Source organism: Homo sapiens, chromosome 2, assembly GCF_000001405.40.
Source record: "Homo sapiens chromosome 2, GRCh38.p14 Primary Assembly".
Classification (NCBI taxonomy): Eukaryota; Metazoa; Chordata; class Mammalia; order Primates; family Hominidae; genus Homo; species Homo sapiens.
Window position 1 is genome coordinate 159,668,339 of NC_000002.12, and position 20,403 is coordinate 159,688,741.

Here is a 20,403-nt window from a genome sequence, read left to right on the forward strand (position 1 = left end):
TTGTTACAATGTTAAATACAAATGGTGAAAGAGGTCATTCTTTCCATGTTTCTAATCCTTGGGGTAATATATTCCATCTTTCACTGCTATGTATGATGTTAATTGGGGGTTTTCCAGTATATACTCCTTTTCAGGTTAAGAAGTTCCCTATCATTCCTGGTTTACTGAGTTTATATTGTGAATGCATGTTGAATTTTGTCTACTGCTTTCTCTTTTATCTCAATCATGTAGGTAGGTACATGTTTATTTTGTTTTTCTTTTCAAATAATCAGACATTGGTTTTGTCAGTTTTCTCTCATCTGTTTTTTGGGTGGTGGATTTCTGTTCTTATCTTTATTCCTTCTTCCTTCTACTTAGTTTAGGTTCAATTTGCTTTTCCTAGTCTAGCTTCTTAAAATCTCAGGTCATTAATTTTAGAGCTTTGTTTTCTAATTTAAGAAACTGAAATGGGTTGACGCCTGTAATCCCAGCACTTTGGGAGGCCGAGGCAGGCTGATCACTTGAGATCAGGAATTTGAGACCAGCCTGGGCAACATGGCGAAACCCCATCTCCACTAAAATACAAAAATTAGCCGGGCATGGTGGTGCATGCCTGTGATTCAGGCTACTCGGGAGGCTGAGGCAGGAGAATTGCTTGAACCTAGGAGGCAGAGGTTGCAGTGAGCTGAGATCATGCCACTTCATTCCAGTCTGGGCAACACAGCAAGAGACTCCGTCTCAAAAAAAAAAGAAAGAAAGAAAGAAAGAAATTGAAGTTATGTCACCCTGTAAGCACTGCTTTATCTACATTCCTCAAGTTTTGATCTGTTGTATTTTCATTATCATTCCCTTCAAAGTATTTTCTAATTTCCTTTTTGATTTCTTCTTTGTCCTATTTTTTATTTAGGGGGGTGTTAAGTTTCAAAATATTTGGTATTTTCCTATCTTACTGTCATTGAATTTTAATTCTGTTGTGGTAAGAGAACAAACTGCATAATTTCATTCCTTTTAAGTTTGTTGTTTTGTTTTATTGTCTATCACATGGTCTCTCTTTGAGAATACACTATGTGAACATAAAAAAATATGTATTTGGCAGTTATTTAGGTATAGTATTCCAAATGTATCCATTAGATCAAATCGGTTCAAATCTTCTATGTCTTTATAGATTTTTTTTTTAGTTGTTCTATCAATTACTGAGAAGGGGGTGTTAAAATCTTCTACCATGATCTCAATTTTTGCTTCATGTATGTTTAAGTTGCTGTTACTCAGGCATTTGTGATTACATTTTCTCAGATTGTGCCTTTTATCGTTATGAAATATCACTCTTTACCTCTGATAATACCCTCAGTCTTAAAAGCGATTTCATCTGATGTTAATATAGCTGTTTCTTCTTTTTATGCTGTTTACCTGGTATAGTTTTGTCTATTCATTTACTTTCAATATATTTGTATTTTTAGGCCTAAGATAAATCTCTTGTAGGAAGTATAGTTTGTTCTTTCTTTTGTATCTGCTCTAACAACCTAGCTTTAAATTTTAGTATTTAGACGTTTAATATTTAATGTGATTATTGTTATCACTGAATTTCATTTAATAATTTTATTACTTGGCTCTATTATCTCTATGTGTTGTTGCAGTAGTTCCTGTTGCTCTTTCTTTCCTCTTTTTTTTCTTGAGATCGAGTCTTGCTCTGTCGCCCAGGCTGGAGTGCAGTGGTGTGACCTCGGCTCACTGCAACCTCCGCCTCCCGGGTTCAAGTGATTCTCCTGCCTCAGCCTCCCAAGTAGCCGCGACTACAGGCATGCACCACCATGCCTGGCTAATTTTTGTATATTTACTAGAGATGGGTTTTTACTGTGTTGGCCACGCTGGTCTCAAACTCCTGACCTCAAGTGATCCACCTGCCTCGGCCTTCCCAAGTGCTGGAATTACAGGCGTGAGCTACCACGCCCAGCCTCTTTTCTACTTTTTAGAAAGATAATTTAAATACTCTTTAGTACTGCATTTTAACAATTCTATTGGCTCATGAACTGTACCTCTTTGTATTTTATTTTTAGCGATTTCTGTAAGGATCACAATATACATCTCTGATCTTTCAGAGTTCAAGCAGAACACTATATCTCTTCTCTTCATGTAAAACACATACACCTTGCAAGCATATAGGTCCCTTTAATCACCTGCCCCCTTGCCACATACCATACGTTGTTATAGTTTTATGTATTTTATAGTAGTTGTATAAGTTACTATTGTATATTAACAATGTAAATATGTATTACATCTGCATACATTGAAAACTCCAAAACTCCAATGTTATAATTTTGTTTTAAATACCCAAAGGTCATTTTAAAGGACTTAAGAGGATAACAGTCTTTTATTTTTATCCAGATATTTACCATTTCTGATGTTCTTCATTTGCTTCTGAAGATCCAAGTTTTCTGTTAATATCATTTCTTGCTCAGTTGAAGAACTTCCATTATCATTTCTTGTAGTATAGGTCTGCTGGAGACAAATTTCTCTTAGTTTCCCATTTGTAAAATTGTCTTAATTTTGCCATCATTTCTGAAGGATACTTCCACTGGACACAGAATTCTGGACTGACTGATTTATTGTTTCAGGTTTTAAGATGATGTTATACTGTCTTCTGGCCTCTATGTTTCCTGACGAAAAAATGTTGGCCTTCAAATTATTGTTCTTTGGTATGTAAAGCAAACTTTTCTCTGTCTGCTTTCATAATTTTTTCTTTATCTTAGGTTTCAGTTTATAAGTGTGTCTAGGCCTGCTTTTCCAAGTATAGTACTCACAGTTCTAAACTGCACCTCAATATGCCTCATCCCTTGATTTTGTCAGGTCAAATACATTGATCCTTTAAATCTGGTCCTCCCTTACTGCCTACTATCTTCACTCATAAGCTGTCAAGGTTGATGTTCAGAACTGCTGACTTACTGGTTAATGTTTTATAATTCATTTGGGTCACTGGAGCTCCTCGCAATACTTTCGTTCTCCCAAAGAACCATTTCAAATAAAAAAAAATGCATGCAAGGGTGATACATATTAAGACAGAAAATAATTGGTAGCTATACGGGACATAAATAACTAATTCTTTCTAGAAGGTACTACCTCAAATACTTTTCAAAGTGAACCCAGAGAGGCAATGTTTTTAAAATGAGTTTAAATATAAATATCTCAATTTTAAAAATAAAAGAACATATCAGGTACAACAGTTATTTATTGGGACGATTTCACCAATTAGACAAAAAATAATAATTGCCCCATCCTGCTGAACTTTTCAGAGGCCTGGTCAGTCAATGAATACGAACTCTTTCTGCTCAGGAATACTCAGTATATTAGTCAAACTAGCAGAAATAGTTTATGTATTCTTAGTAAATAATCTGATATATTTATATAATGAAGACCAAACACTAGAGATGCTTAAGCTAATGGCCTTTCAGATTTGGATAGCACGTTGTTTTTCCCTCTAATGGCCACTTCTCATGGATATATAATTTTTAATCATATCAACAAATTCCTTTATAAAACAACTAATCCTAACTGTATGTAATATTGTTCCACAACTCTTAGAATAGTTCTCTTGGGAGCCGCTGAAGAATACAACCATGTTGTCAAACTTTAGCATGACTTGAAAATTCTTCACCTCATTTTCATCCCAGAAACATTTTGCTTCTTTTTTCCTTTGTGTACATATTGTTATGTTATATTAGGCATTATTATTTCATTTTCCATATAAACATTCTAAACTTTTGTATAAAGTTTATATTAGGCATTACTATTTCATTTTCCATATAAACATTCTAAACTTTTGTATAAGACGTGAGAATAGTTTTCTAGTTGCAACAAAATAATAATTTTGCTTTAGAATATAAGCCTGCTTATAATCAATTGAGACAATTAGGATTTATGGTACACATTTCAAAAATGTTGAAGAGGAAGCGGTGTTAACAACCGTGAATGTACTTAAGGATTTTATTTTAGCTGATTTATACCAGTCAATCACATAAACACACAAATTGTAAAGTTTTAATTGTTAAATCCAAGGGATCTCACCCACATAAACAATGTTCAACAATGGCCAATATTGTCTTTTTCTTTCCCATAAATCTCCCAAGTTGGAAAGATAAAAAGAAGAAGATAAAACTATGCAATTTTCATTAAAATAGAAAGTAAACAACAACACATCCTGTACAGAATCCTGGGGCCTTAGAATCCTCATGGAAATACAGTTGCCAGTGATGCTAACCAGAGTGAAGGTTTTTCCAGGTATGAGCAGCATCTACTTTATTCTTTTGGAGAGAGGGAGGTGTTATGGCTTCCTGACTCCTCCCCCTGAATAGACAGAAGACCAGTGAGGAAGAATAAGATTCTAAAAACTGACAAGTATAGATTTAGAAATTTAGTATGCAATAAAGGGGTTATCTCAGAAGACTAGAGGAAAAATGCACTTTTTGATAAATAATGTTGAGATAACTAGATAGCTATTTGGAAAATGATATATCTGGATCAATTCTGCACACCAAACATATGCGTACACCTCAAGTAGACCTAAGTTCTAAATGTAAAGTATGAAATGATACAAAGAGTGAAAGAAAACATATATTAATTTCCTTATAACTTAGGTATTGAGAAAGACTTTATATATATGACTCAAACTCTAGATTCATTGAAAGAAAATATTGACAAATCTGTTACATAAAAATGAAAAACTTCTGCATGGCAAAAAACATCGTAAGTAAAGTCCAAAGACAAATGATAAGCAGGGAGGAAATACTTGGAACATAAACTACAGGTAATAGGCTAATATTCCTAATATATAAAGAAGTCTTAGATAACCAATTAAAAACTCTAAAATCCCAATAGAAAAATAGGCAAAAAAATTTAAACAGATGATTCAGAAAAATAATATGAACTGGCTCTTAAACATATGAAAATACATTCAGCTTCACTTTCATGAGGCAAATGCAAATTAAAACTACACTAAGATACCATTTCTTACCTTTAGACCAGTAAAAACTCTAAAGTTTGACAATTACTCTGTTGGTGAGGCTGTGAGGAAATAGGAACTTAACCATTGCTGGTGGGATATAAAATGCTATAATCTCTATAGGGAAGAATTTGGCAACGTCAAACAAAACTACAAAAGTGTTTATCCTTTGATTTAACAATTCCATTTCTGGAATTTACCCTGAATATACAGCTCTAAATGCATAAAAATATGTATGTACAAGGTGATGAATTGTAGCATTATTTGTAATTGCAAACCACAGGAAAAACACATAAATGCTCTTACATTAGTAGGTTAAACTATGGACACCCACAGACTGCACATCACAAATTATGTAGCTGTAAAAAAAAAAATGAAGATATCTATGAACTGATAAAAATATATCCACGATATATTAGCCAAAAATCAAACAAATCAAAACTATAAAAAAGTACATAGAGTAGCTATATTTTCTGAAAGAAATAAGAATATATAATTACATGTGAAGATATACATATTTTCGCACACACACAGAATGAAAACCAAAAAGTAGAACAAACAAATCCTGTAGAGGAATGATAACCAGAAATGAAAAAAACTAGTTATCTAAAGAAGATGAGTGAAAGAGTAGAAGGGACAGAAGAAGGAATGACATTTCATTGATTACATATTTTTGTATAGTTTTTATTTAAGAACATTTAAGAGTAAATGACATAATTAATTTTTTTTTTTAATTTAAAAGAACAGGCACGTCAGATGCAGTGGCTGATACTTGTAATCCCAAGCACTTTGCAAGGCTGAGGTGGGCAGATTGCTTGAGCCAAGGAGTTCAAGACCAGCCTAGGCAACATAGTGAAACCTTGTCTCTACAAAAACTACCTGAGTGTGGTGGCATGTGCCTGTAGTCCCAGTTACTTGGGAGTCTGAGATGGGAGGATCACCTGAGCCCACTAAGTGAGGGCTGCAGTAAGCTGTGATCACACCATTGCACTCCAGCCTGGGCAACGAAGTGAGACTCTGTCTCAGAAAAAAAAAAAAAAGAAAGAAAGAAAAGGAAAAGGAAGGGAAGGGAAGAAAAGAAAAGAAAAGAGAAGAGAAGAAAAGAAAAGAAAAAAGAATGGAGGCTGGGCGCGGTGGCTCATGCCTGCATTCCCAGCACTTTGGGAGGTTGAGGTGGGCCGATCACTTCATGTTATTAGTTGGAGACCAGCCTGGCCAACATGGTGAAACTGCATCTCTACTAAAAAATACAAAAATTAGCCGGGTGTGGTGGCACGCATCTGTAATCCCAGCTACTTGGGAGGCTGAGGCAGGAGAATCACTTGAACCTGGGAGGCAGAGGTTGCAGTGAGCTGAGATTGCGCCATTGCAGTCCAGCCTGGGTGACAAGAATGAAGCTCCGTCTTAAAAAAAAAAAAAAAAGAATGGGGAAAACCTAAAGTTGAATACCTGAAGAAACAAATAAATGTAAGGATTTCTGAATAAATAACATAGCCATATAGAACAAGGAAAATAACTAATCCAAATAATTTCTGAACACAGTATTTGAAGTATATACCTTTCACTGGAAAATAAAGAGAAATGCAAAAATTTCTTGAGCTCTACCTTAAAAGTCTATTGTTTGTAATAACATTGGAGCAGCATTTTTGTATGATTTTGTATTTGTCGCAGCATTAAGCAAATGAGTAAATATATAAAACGCTCTTGGGGAGCCAGAGTACCTCACTGGAAGAGAAGGAACACACAAATACGGAACTGGGGAGGACAAGACAGAATCCTCTCATTTTAGACTGGAATAAGATTTATTATAAGCTGGCACAGAGGCTCTTACTTGTAATCCTAGCACTTTGGGAAGCCTGGGTGGGAGAATCACTTGAGGCCAGGAATTTGAGACTGTCTCTATTATAATAAGTAAATTAAAGAGGCAATAAAATATTAAAAATTTTTTAAAGTTATCAACACATCACACTTCTTCAGTTAAAAAAAAAAACGCACAACAGAATACAGTTTAACAAATGTTAAATGAGCCCATTAACTGTAAAAATCCTCTGATTCCTGAATCATAGATAGGAAAAATTTGTATACATCAGTGAAGCTATTCACTATTTCTGGTGAAGATAGGATATGAGGGAATAAGTTTAAGGTGAAAATATGATAGCAATGTATGTAGAGTTTTATAAAGGGAAACCTCTCCAGTTATAGAATTGTGAAACCAAAGAAAGACAATCTGAAGAAATACTAAAAAACGGATCAATTATTTTTTGGAGATAATTAAGGTACAATTTTATCTAAAATAATGTACAGAAAATGATTCTCCAGATTTCCCCAACTGATTTCATAATTATCTACCTATTTTCATATTTCCCCATATATCATCTCTTTAAAGAATATAACGAAATCCCAGCTTTTCTAAGTGAAAGGTTTCAATTACCTTTGTTTCTTTTTTTTTGAGATCGGGTCTCACTGTCACCCAGGCTGGAGTGCAGTGGCGTGATCCTAGCTCACTGCAACTTCCACCTCACAGGCTTAAGCTATCCTCTCACCTCAGCCTCCCAAGTGACTGGGAATACAGGCGCACCCCCTACGTTCGGCTTTTTCTTTTTTTGAGACGGAGTCTCACTGTCACCCAGGCTGGAGTGCAGTGGTGCGATCTAGGCTCACTGCAACCTCCACCCCCCAGGTTCAGGTGATTCTCCTGCCTCAGTCTCCCGAGTAGCTGGGATTACAGGCACCTACCACCGCACCCGGCTAATATTTGTATTTTAGTAATGATGAGGTTTCACCATCTTGGCCAGGCTGGTCTTGAACTCCCGACCTCGTGATCCACCTGCCTCGGCCTCCCAAAGCGCTGGGATTACAGGCATGAGCCACCACGCCTGGCCTAGGCTAATTTTTTTTTTTTAGTACAGATGAGGTCTTCCTATGTTGCCCAGGCTGGTCTTGAACTCCTGAACTCCAGCAATCCTCCCGCCTTGGCCTCCCAAACTGCTAGGATTATAGGTGTGATCCACCATGCCTGGCTTCAATTATCTTTTCTGAATAAGATATCTTGTAAACTTACTTATATTAGTGACTTGGTTCTTTGTGACACTTCACAGCTATTTGTATATATGCACACACCACTATTCATGGCATTATATTTCTCCTAAATGACAATAGTAAACCTTTACCATATTAAATTTTCTCATTCAAGTGGAAAAATTAAAAATATGTAGTCATTTTAAGCTGAGCACGTGATGGGTGCCTGTAGTCCCAGCTACTTGGGAGGCTGAGGTGAGAGGACTGCCTGAGCCCAGGCGTCCAAGTCCAGCATGGGTAACACAGTGGTATCTAAATGCACACACACACACACACACACACACACACACACAGAGTTGTTTTAAAGTTGAGTAATTCAAGGCAAATTCATAAAGACAGAAAGTAGATTAGAAGTTACCAGAGACTGGGTGCAATAGGGAGTTATGGCTAAATGGTTACAGAGTTTCTGTTTGTGGTGATAAAAAAGTTTTGGAAACAGTGGATGGTTGCACAATAGTGTGAATGTACTTAATGCCACTGAGTTGTAGGCTTTAAACGATTAAAATGGTTAAATTTATGTTACATAAGTGTTATAATTTTTAAAAGTGGTTAAAATAGTTTTGTTATATATATATATATATATATATATATATATATATATATATATTACAATTTTTAAAAATTGAGTTGTCAATTAAAATAAAATTGTCAGCCCTTATTGGATAGAAGTCCTGTATTGTGCTGAAAGGGAATCTTCAACAGTGATAATGATGGATAAAGATTAAAGCTTATATAGTTACCAACAAACACATATATTTGCTTGAAAGGTAATAAAATATATAGTTATATGATAAAAATTCTCAAGAAAAAATTTGAACTCCTGAGAATACACAGCTTCCTTCATTTTAAAGATAAGAAAGAGGAAAAAGTCTACAAAAACAAAAAGCCTTGTCCTTTTCCAATATTTTTTCTAAATTCTTTAAAAGACTGAATACAACACAATGATATTTTGTTTCAAACCTTTGTTTTAAAGAAATTCTTAATATTTTGTGTAACTATGCTTTTTCTAATTATATGTAGAAGACATAAAATAATTAATAAGCCATGAAATTAATATAAGTTTTTACAGTATGTTTTAAAAGAGGCAAGTTATCATTCACTATTTTTTATAGTATCAAAGAAGGGGACAGAAAAACCCAGGAGAAAAAAATTGCTCTGTGTCTTAAGTGCTACATTTTATTTCTAATTTTGTATCTGTCATTAAACATCTGTGAGGACAAAATACACTTATAAAACAAATAATGCCACATATTGCAACAATGGAGAGTCATTCAAAGACAGTCATTTAAAGTCATTCATATTTGGGTTTCACAATATGCTATTTGAGCATAGAGGACTTCATTCTTAATTCAGAAGCTTAATTTGCCCAAATCCAGATTACTATAACATTTAGGAAGATAAAAACAAGTGGATTTGTTCTTTGTTTTCTCCCCTCTTTTCTGGGAATTAAACTTAAAGCTGCATCAAGTTACTTCAGAGCACCAGAAACAAATGCTATATTGTTTACATCCCCATCTAGTGGTCTTAAATTTCTGTTCTGCATAGTATTCAAAAAATAAATACTTAAAGATGAAAACTTAAACAAAATTATCTGACAAAAATTAACACAAACCAAAACTTTACAGCTATGAGAAATACTATTATGTTACCTAGTCTCACGCTATTACAGTTAGAATGGAATGGAATGGCAGAGACTATGTGAAGCCACTAGAAAAAATAAGGAGCATTTTTCTGGAGCATCTATTTTACGTAATGCTAAATAATTTAAAACATTTTCTATTAATGCAAACATAGTCTGGAATAAAATGTTTACTAGTATTTCAGTTTGAGAAGCACAGGGTACAAACTCATTCCATTGAAAAAGAACCTAATAACTTGAGCAATTAAGTTATTTGATCAAGTTCCCTCAACCCAACCATAATAGAGCAGTATCAACAACATAGATATTTTATACTTTTTCCATTACAAAATACAAATACAAAATACTAAATACCAATCCCAAGTGCCTAATTGCAATATACTTTATTCTTTGCATATAGTTTCTTAGACATTTTATTCTAACACCCAGAATTTCCCTTTTACTTCATATCATAGCACAGCACAGTTACAACCTGTACTAAAAGTACTATTTTCCATTCTAGTGGTGCATGCCTATAGTCCCAGCTACTAGAGAGGCTGAGGTAGGTAGGACTGCTTGAGTCCAGGAGTTAGAGGACAGCCGGGGTAGTGAGACCACCTTGTGTCAAAAAAATAAACTTACTATTCTACATTTTTTCCTAAAATTGATTTAAAATTATGAAACTGATCTGATGGTGGGGGAGGCAAATAGTTCTGTAAACATAAAAACATATACAGATTTATGTCACTACCACCACAATCAGGATACAGAACACCTCTATCACATACACCTCCAAAATCCCTTGTACTATTACTTTTGCAGTTTCACAATCCCTAACCCCTGATAACTACTGATCTGTTTTCTAACAATATAGGTTTGTCTTGTCAAGAATAGCTTATAAATGGCATGATACAGAAGGCAACCTTTTTGAGAATAGTTTCTATGCTGCATGACTTTGAGACTCACTACTCAAGATGTTGAATGGGCCGGGCGCGGTGGCTCACGCCTGTAATCCCAGCACTTTGGGAGGCCGAGGCGGGCGGATCACGAGGTCAGGAGGTCGAGACCATCCTGGCTAACACGGTGAAACCCAGTCTCTGCTAAAAATACAAAAAATTAGCCTGCTGTGGTGGCGGGCGCCTGTAGTCCCAGCTACTTGGGAGGCTGAGGCAGGAGAATGGCGTGAAGCTGGGAGGCGGAGCTTGCAATGAGCCAAGATTGCTCCGCTGCACTCCAGCCTGGGTGACAGAGTGAGACTTCATCTCAAAAAAAAAAAAAAAAAAAAAAAGATGTTGAATGTGGGTTCATTCCTTTTTTATTTCTGACTCTGTTAAAGGTGACATGCTTTTTTATTGCTGAGCAGTATTCCATAGTATATTATATACTATATGTGGTAGTATATAGAATGGTATAGTATAAAGTAAAATAGCAGAGTTTGTTTATATATTCATCCATGGAAGAACATGTGGGTTATTTTCTGTTTTGGGTGATTATGAATAAAATGGCCAACTAGGTTCTCTTCTGTTGAATAATTTTTAAATGTAGGTGATTTAACATTATAAGCCTTTCCTAATTTTGACCTTTACACAGAATGTGATATGAAAATGTAACTTCCAAAAAAGTAATAATTTAAATAAATCCTTTCAATGCCTAAATTAGTTCATCACTATTCAGGAATTGGCATTAAGAAGACAATTATTCATATTTATATATGAGAAAAGTGAAATAGGAAAATTAAACTTCTTTTAAGCATGAGGATATGTAATAATTTACTTAAAAACCTAGGAAGGAAATGCCAAATACTTGGGCCACCATTACCTCTTTCTCTGCCCAGGGCATACATCAAAAATCATTCAAAGTGCACTATGCTATAGAGTGCTGATGCAGCCTCAATGCTCAATGCACAGTTCTAGGCAGTAATTACTACATAATCAGAGTTGGGGCTCCCATTGCGATGAATTTTGTATCTCTGGCTTAGGCAAAATTATTCTCAACAAACTGTAATCTATAGAAATTATTTTCCCTTTAAGGAAAAAATTATGTTCTGTAACATTCTTAATCCTAGGCTTATTATGTTAATAATGTGTGATGTTTTACAAGACTGAGCAAGAAAAACTGCTGGGGTAGTTCTGGACAGCTATCAGTACCAGAACAAAATCCAATGTATACAAGAGAAAAAAGTATAATCTTACAAAAAGGAAAGCAAGGACAAAGAGGAAAAGAAGATGAAGATTACAACCTGTTAAGAAATTGAAAAATCTTTTTTATTATCCATTGCGTTAAGCTAATTCTTTGAGCTTTGTGTCTTGTGCTTACTTGACAATAAGTCTGTGCTTTTATGTCTTCATACTACCTATTTGTTAGATACCACGGTTAGATTCTGATAGAATAAGTATATACATGGATTTATTTCCTATATTCTAAAACAGATTAAAATGTCAAATAAAATTTTAAAGTAGAAAACCAAAAGGTACAATCAGGTTCAAAGTCAAAACAAACATGTGGACCAAAAACTGAAGAGTAATATAAATTAATGAATGGGGCTGTTACCCCGGGCACGTTAGTCTCCAGTCCAAAAGCAGGCAGTGACAGCAGCTGAAAATTCAGCCTCTGTGGAGTAACGCTCACTAAATATGCTGTATGTGATAATAAGGGATCAGAGACAGGCTCACTATTTGAAACTACAGGTAGCTGCAGGACAGGAATAATATATATTCCTTATATATATTCCTTATCCTTATTCCTGTCCTTTGCAGTAGGGGCTGTTACCCCCTATTGCAAAATAAGGCTACAAAATGTGCTACCAACCTATTGCCCGGGATCCAGTTCTGTGGAGTTATATTGGCCCAGCAGACAGGAAGACAAAAATATAGCCTCATGATCATGCCTGTCAGGATGAGCAGTATCCCTAAATATATTACAGTGTAACAGCTCTGAAATGATGATACAAAATCTATTGGTAGAATGGGGCAAGACTTGGGTAGAGGTAACCTCAAAATTGCTAGGGAGAGACTTCTGAGTATAGATCAAGAAGTAAAGGAGAAAGCGGGGGGAAAAAACTTCAAAATTTCCTTCTACATAAAATGAGCCTGCTAATCTAAATTCCAATACTGTAAGTTTTACCATAAGAGAAATACCATATGTTTTACTATAAGAGAAAATCTTATGGTAAAATTTATCATAAGAGAAAATTACCGTAAGAGAAAATCTTATGGCAAAACAGCTATCAAAATTAATAATCAGAACACTAGTTTACTATAAAAAATAATTTTATACAAGTCTGACAGATTTTAAAAGTCAGTGTTTAAGTGTTTAAGATGTTCAAAGAAATAAAGAATTCAAATTCATCAAAAGAGGATAATAAATTATAAAACAAAATCAGGCAGAAATGACACAATACATAGATATGAAAAAGAAACAGACCAGACACAGTTTGACCAAAAAAAAAAAAGGAAAAAGAAACAAATCAACATCTTAGACAAGAAAAATATAGCCACTGAAATAAAAACCTTAACAGATCTGATAAATGCTAGATTGAAAGAGAGAATTACTATATTGAAGGATAGTTTTATCAGTTTGGATAATATACAGTCAGGGTTCCAGCAATTAAACAGTTGTTACACCCAAATTAAGATTATTTCAGGCTGGGTGTGGTGGCTCACGCCTGTAATCCCAGCACTTTGGGAGGCCGAGGTGGGCTGATCACCTGAGGTCAGGAGACCAGCCTGACTAACATGGTAAAACCCCATCTCTACTAAAAATACAAAAATTAGCCAGGCGTAGTGGTGGGTGCCTGTAATCCCAGCTACTCGGGAGGCTGAGGCAGGAGAATCACTTGAACCCAGGAGGTGGAGGTTGCAGTGAGCTGAGATCACGCCACTGCACTCCTGCCTGGGCAACAGAGACTCCGTCTCAAAAATAAAAAATAAATTTAAAAAAAGATTATTTCAGAAGGAATTAAAAAGCACGTTAAGGAAACCACAGAGAATAGTGCAGTATCTCAGGATTAGTATAAATGGGAGAGAACTGTGAAGAGAGGGCTGCCTTGAGAGGAGCTGTGACTTTCAGTAAAGGAACGTAGTCAACCCATCAATGGCAATCCTATAGGACTGGGGCCAGGGTAATAAATATCCCCTCAGTCTCTTCCTTCCCTCCTGCTGTTTTCTTTGCTTCCTGCTCAGGCTCTTTTTTTTTTTTTTTTTTTTTTAGACAGTCTCCCTCTCTCACTCAGGCTGGACCGCAGAGGCTCACTGTAGCCTCCATCTCTGGGGTCAAACAATCCTCCCACTTCAGCCTCCCCAGTGGCTGGGACTACAGGCATGGACCACCATGCCCAGCTAATTTTTGTATTTTTTGTAGACAGTATCTCACTATATTGTCCAGGCTGGTCTTGAACTCCCAGGCTCAAGTGATCTTCCTGCCTGGGCTTCCCAAAGTGCTGATTACAGGTGTGAGCCACCAAACCTGGCCTTCAGGCTCTTTCTATTGGCCAAAACATTTGGAACTGGAAGGCAAGAGAGCCCACTAATATTGTTCAACCATCCAGAATGGAGTGCAGAATGGAGAATGTTGAAGTAAATCTGGGGAGACAATAGAAGATACTGTGCACAGAAGCTCTTGGCTATGGAAAATAGCACAGCCAACTATGTAGGGGCATTGGTTGGTGATGCAGGGGCAGAGAATGCTGATTATTTCATATAACGAGAAGACAGAACAGTTCCAGGGTTGACTAATTCATCAACTCAATAATAGAACACCAGCTCAATTTCTCTGCAATTTCCTCTGTTTTCTTCTTGGCTGCAGGAGTTCCAAACACTGCATTCTCTTGCAATTATTCCAGAAGATGAAAAAAAGCACCATTTCTTCTCAAGCATCTCTGTTTTAGAGATAAACTGCCACCCCTCCCCCCCCCCACACACACCTTTCTAGGAGTCCTCCCAGCAGACTTTCCCTTACATCACCTTTTTTTTTTCTTTTTAAATCTCTTTGTTATTTTTGGCTAACTGTGTAAGAATTCGGAGTGCATTTCCCCCATGGAGCATTATTATTTATGCTCTATGTACTTGTATAGAGTTGCCATCTGTATTATACTTTCGACAAATGTATAGGCTTTCCTTGGGCTGTCCAAGACACCAAGCAGCATGTCTAATGTCTAATTTTTTTTCTTTGGGAAAATACGTTCTGAACAAAACATTTCTTTAAAAGTCAGGTTTATTATAGTATAACTAACATACAGTAAGTTCACACTATTTTATTTAGAGATGGGTTCTTGCTATGCTCTCCAGGCTGGTCTCAAACTCTCAGACTGGTATCAAACCTCCTGGGCTCAAGCAATCCTTCTACCTCAGCCTCCTGAGAAACTGGGACTACAGGCATGTGCCACCATGCTTGGCTAAAATCACACTTTTTAGCATATTGTTCTATAAGTTAAAACAAACACATAGAGTCATAACCACCACCACAACCAAAATATAGAACAGTTCCATCACTCCAAAATATTCCCTTATGCCCCTTTGTAGTTGGGTTAGTTTTCTTGTTGCTGCTATAAAAAATTGCCATAAACTTGGTTCCTTAAAATAACACAAACATAGTTCCTCATGTCAGAAGCGTGAAATGAATTGTATGAGGCTAAAATCAAGGTGTTAACAGGGCTGGTTCCTTCTAGAAGCTTCAGGGAAGATATCTGATTCTTGTTCCTTTCAGCTTCCAGGGACTACCAGTATTCCTTGGTTCCTGGCTACATTACTGCAATCTGTGCTATGTCTTCTCCCCTACTAACTCTTTTTTCTCTTTAAGTATCTTTGTGATTAAATTTAGAGCTTACTCAGATAATCCAAGACAACTGCCCCATCTCAAGATTTTCAGTCATATCTACAAAGTCTTTTTTGCTTTATAAGGTAACACTTTCAGGTTCTAGAAATTCGAATGTGGATATCTCTGGGAGGCCATGATTCAGCCTACACAGTAGGCAACCCCTCTGTCCTCCAGCTGCTAGCAACCACTGCTGTTAGTCCTGTCCTATTTTTACCTTTTCCAGAATGTCATATAAATGCAATCATTACAGTAAGGAGCCTTTTGAGTCTGGCTTCTGTCACTTAGCATAATACACATGAGATTCATCCATGTTGTTCTATTTTCAGTAGTTTGTTCTTTTGTATTACTGAATAATTCCACTGCATGGATGTACCACACTTTAACCATTCAAAAGCTGACGAATATTTGTGCTGTTTAGGGTTTTTGACAAGCATGAATAAAGCTGCTATGAACACTGATGTGCAGCTTTTTGTATGAACATAAAATTTTCACTTCTCTTGAGTAAAACCTAGGAATGAGATTGCTGAGTTGTGTAGTAAGTACACGTTTAGCTTTCTAAGAAACTGACAAACTAAATAAAGACTAAATTATTTGACAGACTAAATAAAAACTAAATTATTTAGTGGTTACCCACTAAATAAAGAAAAAGTGGAAGAAGTAGTAATTAGTTGGACAATATTGTCTACACAATGATAGGATGAATTATCTCTTTTTCTCTTTGTAAAGGCTGGAGTGCAGTGGTGCAATCATGGTCCACTGCAGCCTCAAACTCCTGGGCTCAAGTGATCCTCCCACCTCAGTCTCCCGAGTAGCTGGGAAACAGGGATCAGACCATACACTGTAACTGTCTTTACTCATATTCCCCTTTACATTATTTGGTAACATACTCTTAAGTGTCACTAAAAGTTAAAGCATAGCTATACTTTTATTTGCACACATTCCTTATCCATTCTAATATTCTGGAAGAAATCATTTATTTTCTACAATGGCATTCTATGATATAGAATAAAATAATTTGATTTAGTAGTAACCTTTTCATATATCATAGATCAAAAAGGTATTTTTAAAACCTTCTGTAAGAAATGCTATATTTTCATACACAGAATTTCCTGCCAAACAGGCCAAGCTGTCCTCATCATGCTTACTCACTAAAGTGGAATTTGTGGGTGGAGGTATCTTTGCATAAAAGAGTCATGGTAATGTCCAGAACTCCTTCCTTTATGCCCCTGCTATGCCTTTTTATGTATGCATATTAAACTAGACTGCTTACTGATTAGTTTTATTATATAAAGTTTTATGGATTTAATCATAGGTCTCTATGCTTTTCATAAGAAGAACAAAACATGACAAGGTGTTTCCACCTTATGGAAAAAGCTACAAATAAAATATAGAAAAATGTTGCACTGAGGTTGTAGTGTAATTTTATTAACAACTTCCAGATACCAAGTGAAGTATAAATATAATTTTTATTTAGAAAGAAGTATCTATAAATAAGTTAACATTTGGTAACTGAAGCTTAACTAAGGTAGAACACTTAAGAATTACAAATGGGATGTGCATCTTACAACATTCAGCTCTTAAAATTTTTTTTGCAATAATTTTACACTTAAAGAAAACATGTACAAACTACCTAGTGCCAAGATCTTGGTTTCTAAATATCATTCTCTAATAAAAGGAACAAAGAAACCTTGAAGAAATAGCTGATTACAGGGCTGGATGAGAGAAAATAGAAGAAAAGGCAAAAGCATCTTGTAGTACCAGAAAGCAAGGTAATGCTCAAAAAACAAAGGAATGGGGCCATGTTAAAGGGCCACAAAAGCCTACCACAGAGAACTCCCCATGGCCAATGCTGGAATAATTTGAGTGACAAAACAAATAATGGCATTATTACACTATACATAATGCCATATTACACTATAATGCAAAGAATAAAATAAATAAACATAAGTCCATACTGTTATTAATACATGATAAATAATAAATAAGAGTGAAATCTTCCTTACAGGATATGTAAGAGATATAGAAACTCCTCCCTCCAGGAGAAACTTAACTGCACCCCCTGACCTCAACTCCTTCCTTTCAGAGTGGGCTGGACTTAGTGACTCCTTTCCAAAGAAAAGAACAAGAAAAATTGGAATTTAACAATAAAGAATAATAGAGACTGGCCCTGGTGGCCCCCACCTGTAATCCCAATGCTTTGGGAGGCTGAGGCAGGAGGATCGCTGAAGGCCAGGAGTTCAAGACCACCTTGGGAAACATAGCCAAGACCTTGTCTCTACAAAAAATTTAAAAATAGTTAGCTGAGTGTAGTGGCATGTGCCTGTAGTCCCAGCTACTCAGGAGGCTGAGGCAGGAGGAGCCCTTGAACCCAGGAGTTCAAGGCTACATTGAGCTATGATAGCATCATTACATTCCAGCTTGAGCTATAGAGCTACTTTAAAAAGAGAGAGAGAGAGAAAATGGCAGATTACTACCTTAACTAAGATATCAAGGTTTACCTCACCAGAGAGATCATGTTGATAGCATCTACCCTCTGATATGATGTAATGAAAGGGTACTTTGCCTCTGCGGTATTATTTCCAAAAAACAAATAACCCCACTCCAATCATGAGAAATACATAAGGCAAACCAAAACGGAAAAACAGCCTACAAATGTCTCACCAATACTCCTCAAACTGTCAGAGTCATGAAAAACAATACTAAGAAACTATCACAGACCAGAGGAGATTTGAGAGATGTAGCAACTAAATGCAATGTAGTAACCTGAATTGGATCTTGAACAGAAGAGGGATATTAAAAAAATAATAAGTGAAATCTGAATGAAGTCTGGAGTTTAAAAAGACATTAACCGAAAAACAGGTGAAATCCAAATAGTCTGGGGTTTAGATAACAGTAATGTGCTAATGTTGGTTTCTTAGTTTAAAAAAATATACCACAGTAGGCCAGGCGTGGTGGCTCACACCTGTAATCCCAGCACTTTGGGAGGCCAAGGCGGACGGATCACAAGGTCAGGAGATCGAGACCACCCTGGCTAACATGGTGAAACCCTGTCTCTACTAAAAATACAAAAAATTAGCTGGGCATGGTGGCGGGTGCCTGTAGTCCCAGCTCCTCGGGAGGCTGAGGCAGGAGAATGGCGTCAACCCGGGTGGCGGAGCTTGCAGTGAGCCGAGATTGCGCCACTACGCTCCAGCCTGGGTGACAGAGCGAGACTCCATCTCAAAAAAAAAAAAAAAAAGGCACCATAGTAATTGAAAATATTAACACTAGAGGAAACTGAAACTGAGAAGGGTGTATTATACAGTAACTTGCTGTACTATTTTTTTCTTTTTCAACTGTGAAAATAGAGTATTTGGTTTTTGTCTCCAATTCCTGGCACAAACTTTATAAAACTCTGGAAGCTTCTTGAGTAACAATGAGGTGGAGGAGAATGTTTTGCTATTCATAGCAAGCTCCTTTCAACCATACCTGAATTTATGCTACTAAGGTGAACAGCCTCAAGATAGAGGCTGGTTGCCAGGGCAACCAACCATGTGATCAGATGGTTCCAACATTCAATCCTTTCCCCAGACCTCTGAGGGAGGGAAGAAAGGGTGGAGACTGTAGTCAATCACCAATGGACAATGATTTAATCAATCATGTCTCTGTAATGGAATCTTCATGAAAACCTTAATCTAACAGGTTCAGAGAGGTTCCAGGTTGAATGCATTAACATGCCAGGAGGCAGAATGTGTCCAAAGCTCCATGGAGACAGAAGCTCCTGTACTCAAGACCCTTCCAGACCTCACCCTATATGCCTCTTTATCTATTTGCGCATTTGTATCCTTTATAATAAACTGGTAATAGTAAAGTGTGTCCCTGAGTTCTGTAAGCTATTATAATAAATCGTTGAACATGAGGCAGAGGTTATGGGAACTCCCAATTTGTAGTCAAGTTAGTCAGAAGTACTGGAGAACTGGGATTTTGATTGGTGTCTGAAGCTGGAATTGAGGCAGTCTTGTGGGACTAAGCCCTACTTAGCCTGTGGGGTCTGATGCTAACTCTAGGTGGATAGCATCAGAACAAAATTGAATTGCATTGGTGTCCACAGTAAACTGGAGAATTCTTGGTGTGGAAAATTGATACATTTGGTATCAGAAATGTTGTGAGTACAGGACAAATTTTTTCTTTTATCTACTTTTACATATCTTAAATTATTATAAAGTAAAAGTTTATTTTCTATTTTACTATTGTTTTTTAAGGCAGAGTCTTGATCTGTCACCCAGGCTGAAAGGCAGTGTGAGATCCTAGTTCATTGCCACCTTGATCTCCCTGACTCAAGCAATCCTCCTGCCTCAGCCTTCCGAGTACCTGGGACTACAGGCATGTGCCACCACACCCAGCTAGTTTTTTTTAATTTTTAGTAGAGATGAGGTCTTGTTATGTTGTCCAGGCTTGCCTTGAACTCCTAAGCTCAAGCAGCTTCCCAAAATGCTGGGACTACAAGCATGAGACACCAGGTCCAGCCCAGACATTTATTTTTTAAAAACTACAAGGAATTTCCATATACATGTTACTCAGATTGCCCAAACTCAACGTTTTGCCACATTTAACTTATCAGTCTCTTTCTACTCCCTTTATAAAGATATTTTTCATCATTCCCTTTTACTCCTTAATATTTCAATGTATATTTCTGTTAAAAGTACATTTATCAAAATAAGGAAGTTAGTATTAATACAATACTATCCAATACAGACCGTCACATTTCACCAATTGTTTCACTAATGTACTTTATAACAAAAATATGAAAAAAGAGTAATATAAAATAAAAATTGGTTCCATTCTAACCCATGATCCAATCGAGGGTCATACATTATTTTTAATTGTCATACCTCTTTGGACTTCTTTGATCTGGAATGCATTCTTCAGTCTTTGTTTTTCA

General features: G+C 36.4%; 1 protein-coding gene across 14 annotated transcripts in view; it reads right to left on the reverse strand.

Moving 5' to 3' along the window:
- Window positions 1–20,403, reverse strand: part of BAZ2B (bromodomain adjacent to zinc finger domain 2B) — a 397,131-nt gene that overhangs the window by 353,027 nt on the left and 23,701 nt on the right. For 8 of the 14 annotated variants that reach the window (XM_047444044.1, XM_047444043.1, XM_047444055.1 and 5 more), the window contains exon 3: window positions 2,370–2,472. The exons of 3 other annotated variants lie outside the window; for them this stretch is intronic. The gene's annotated coding sequence lies outside the window, so the exon portion shown is untranslated. Of the gene's footprint in view, window positions 1–2,369; window positions 2,476–20,403 lie in introns of all 14 variants that reach the window. 3 more of the 14 variants (XM_047444045.1, XM_047444041.1, XM_047444042.1) reach the window with 1 other exon arrangement.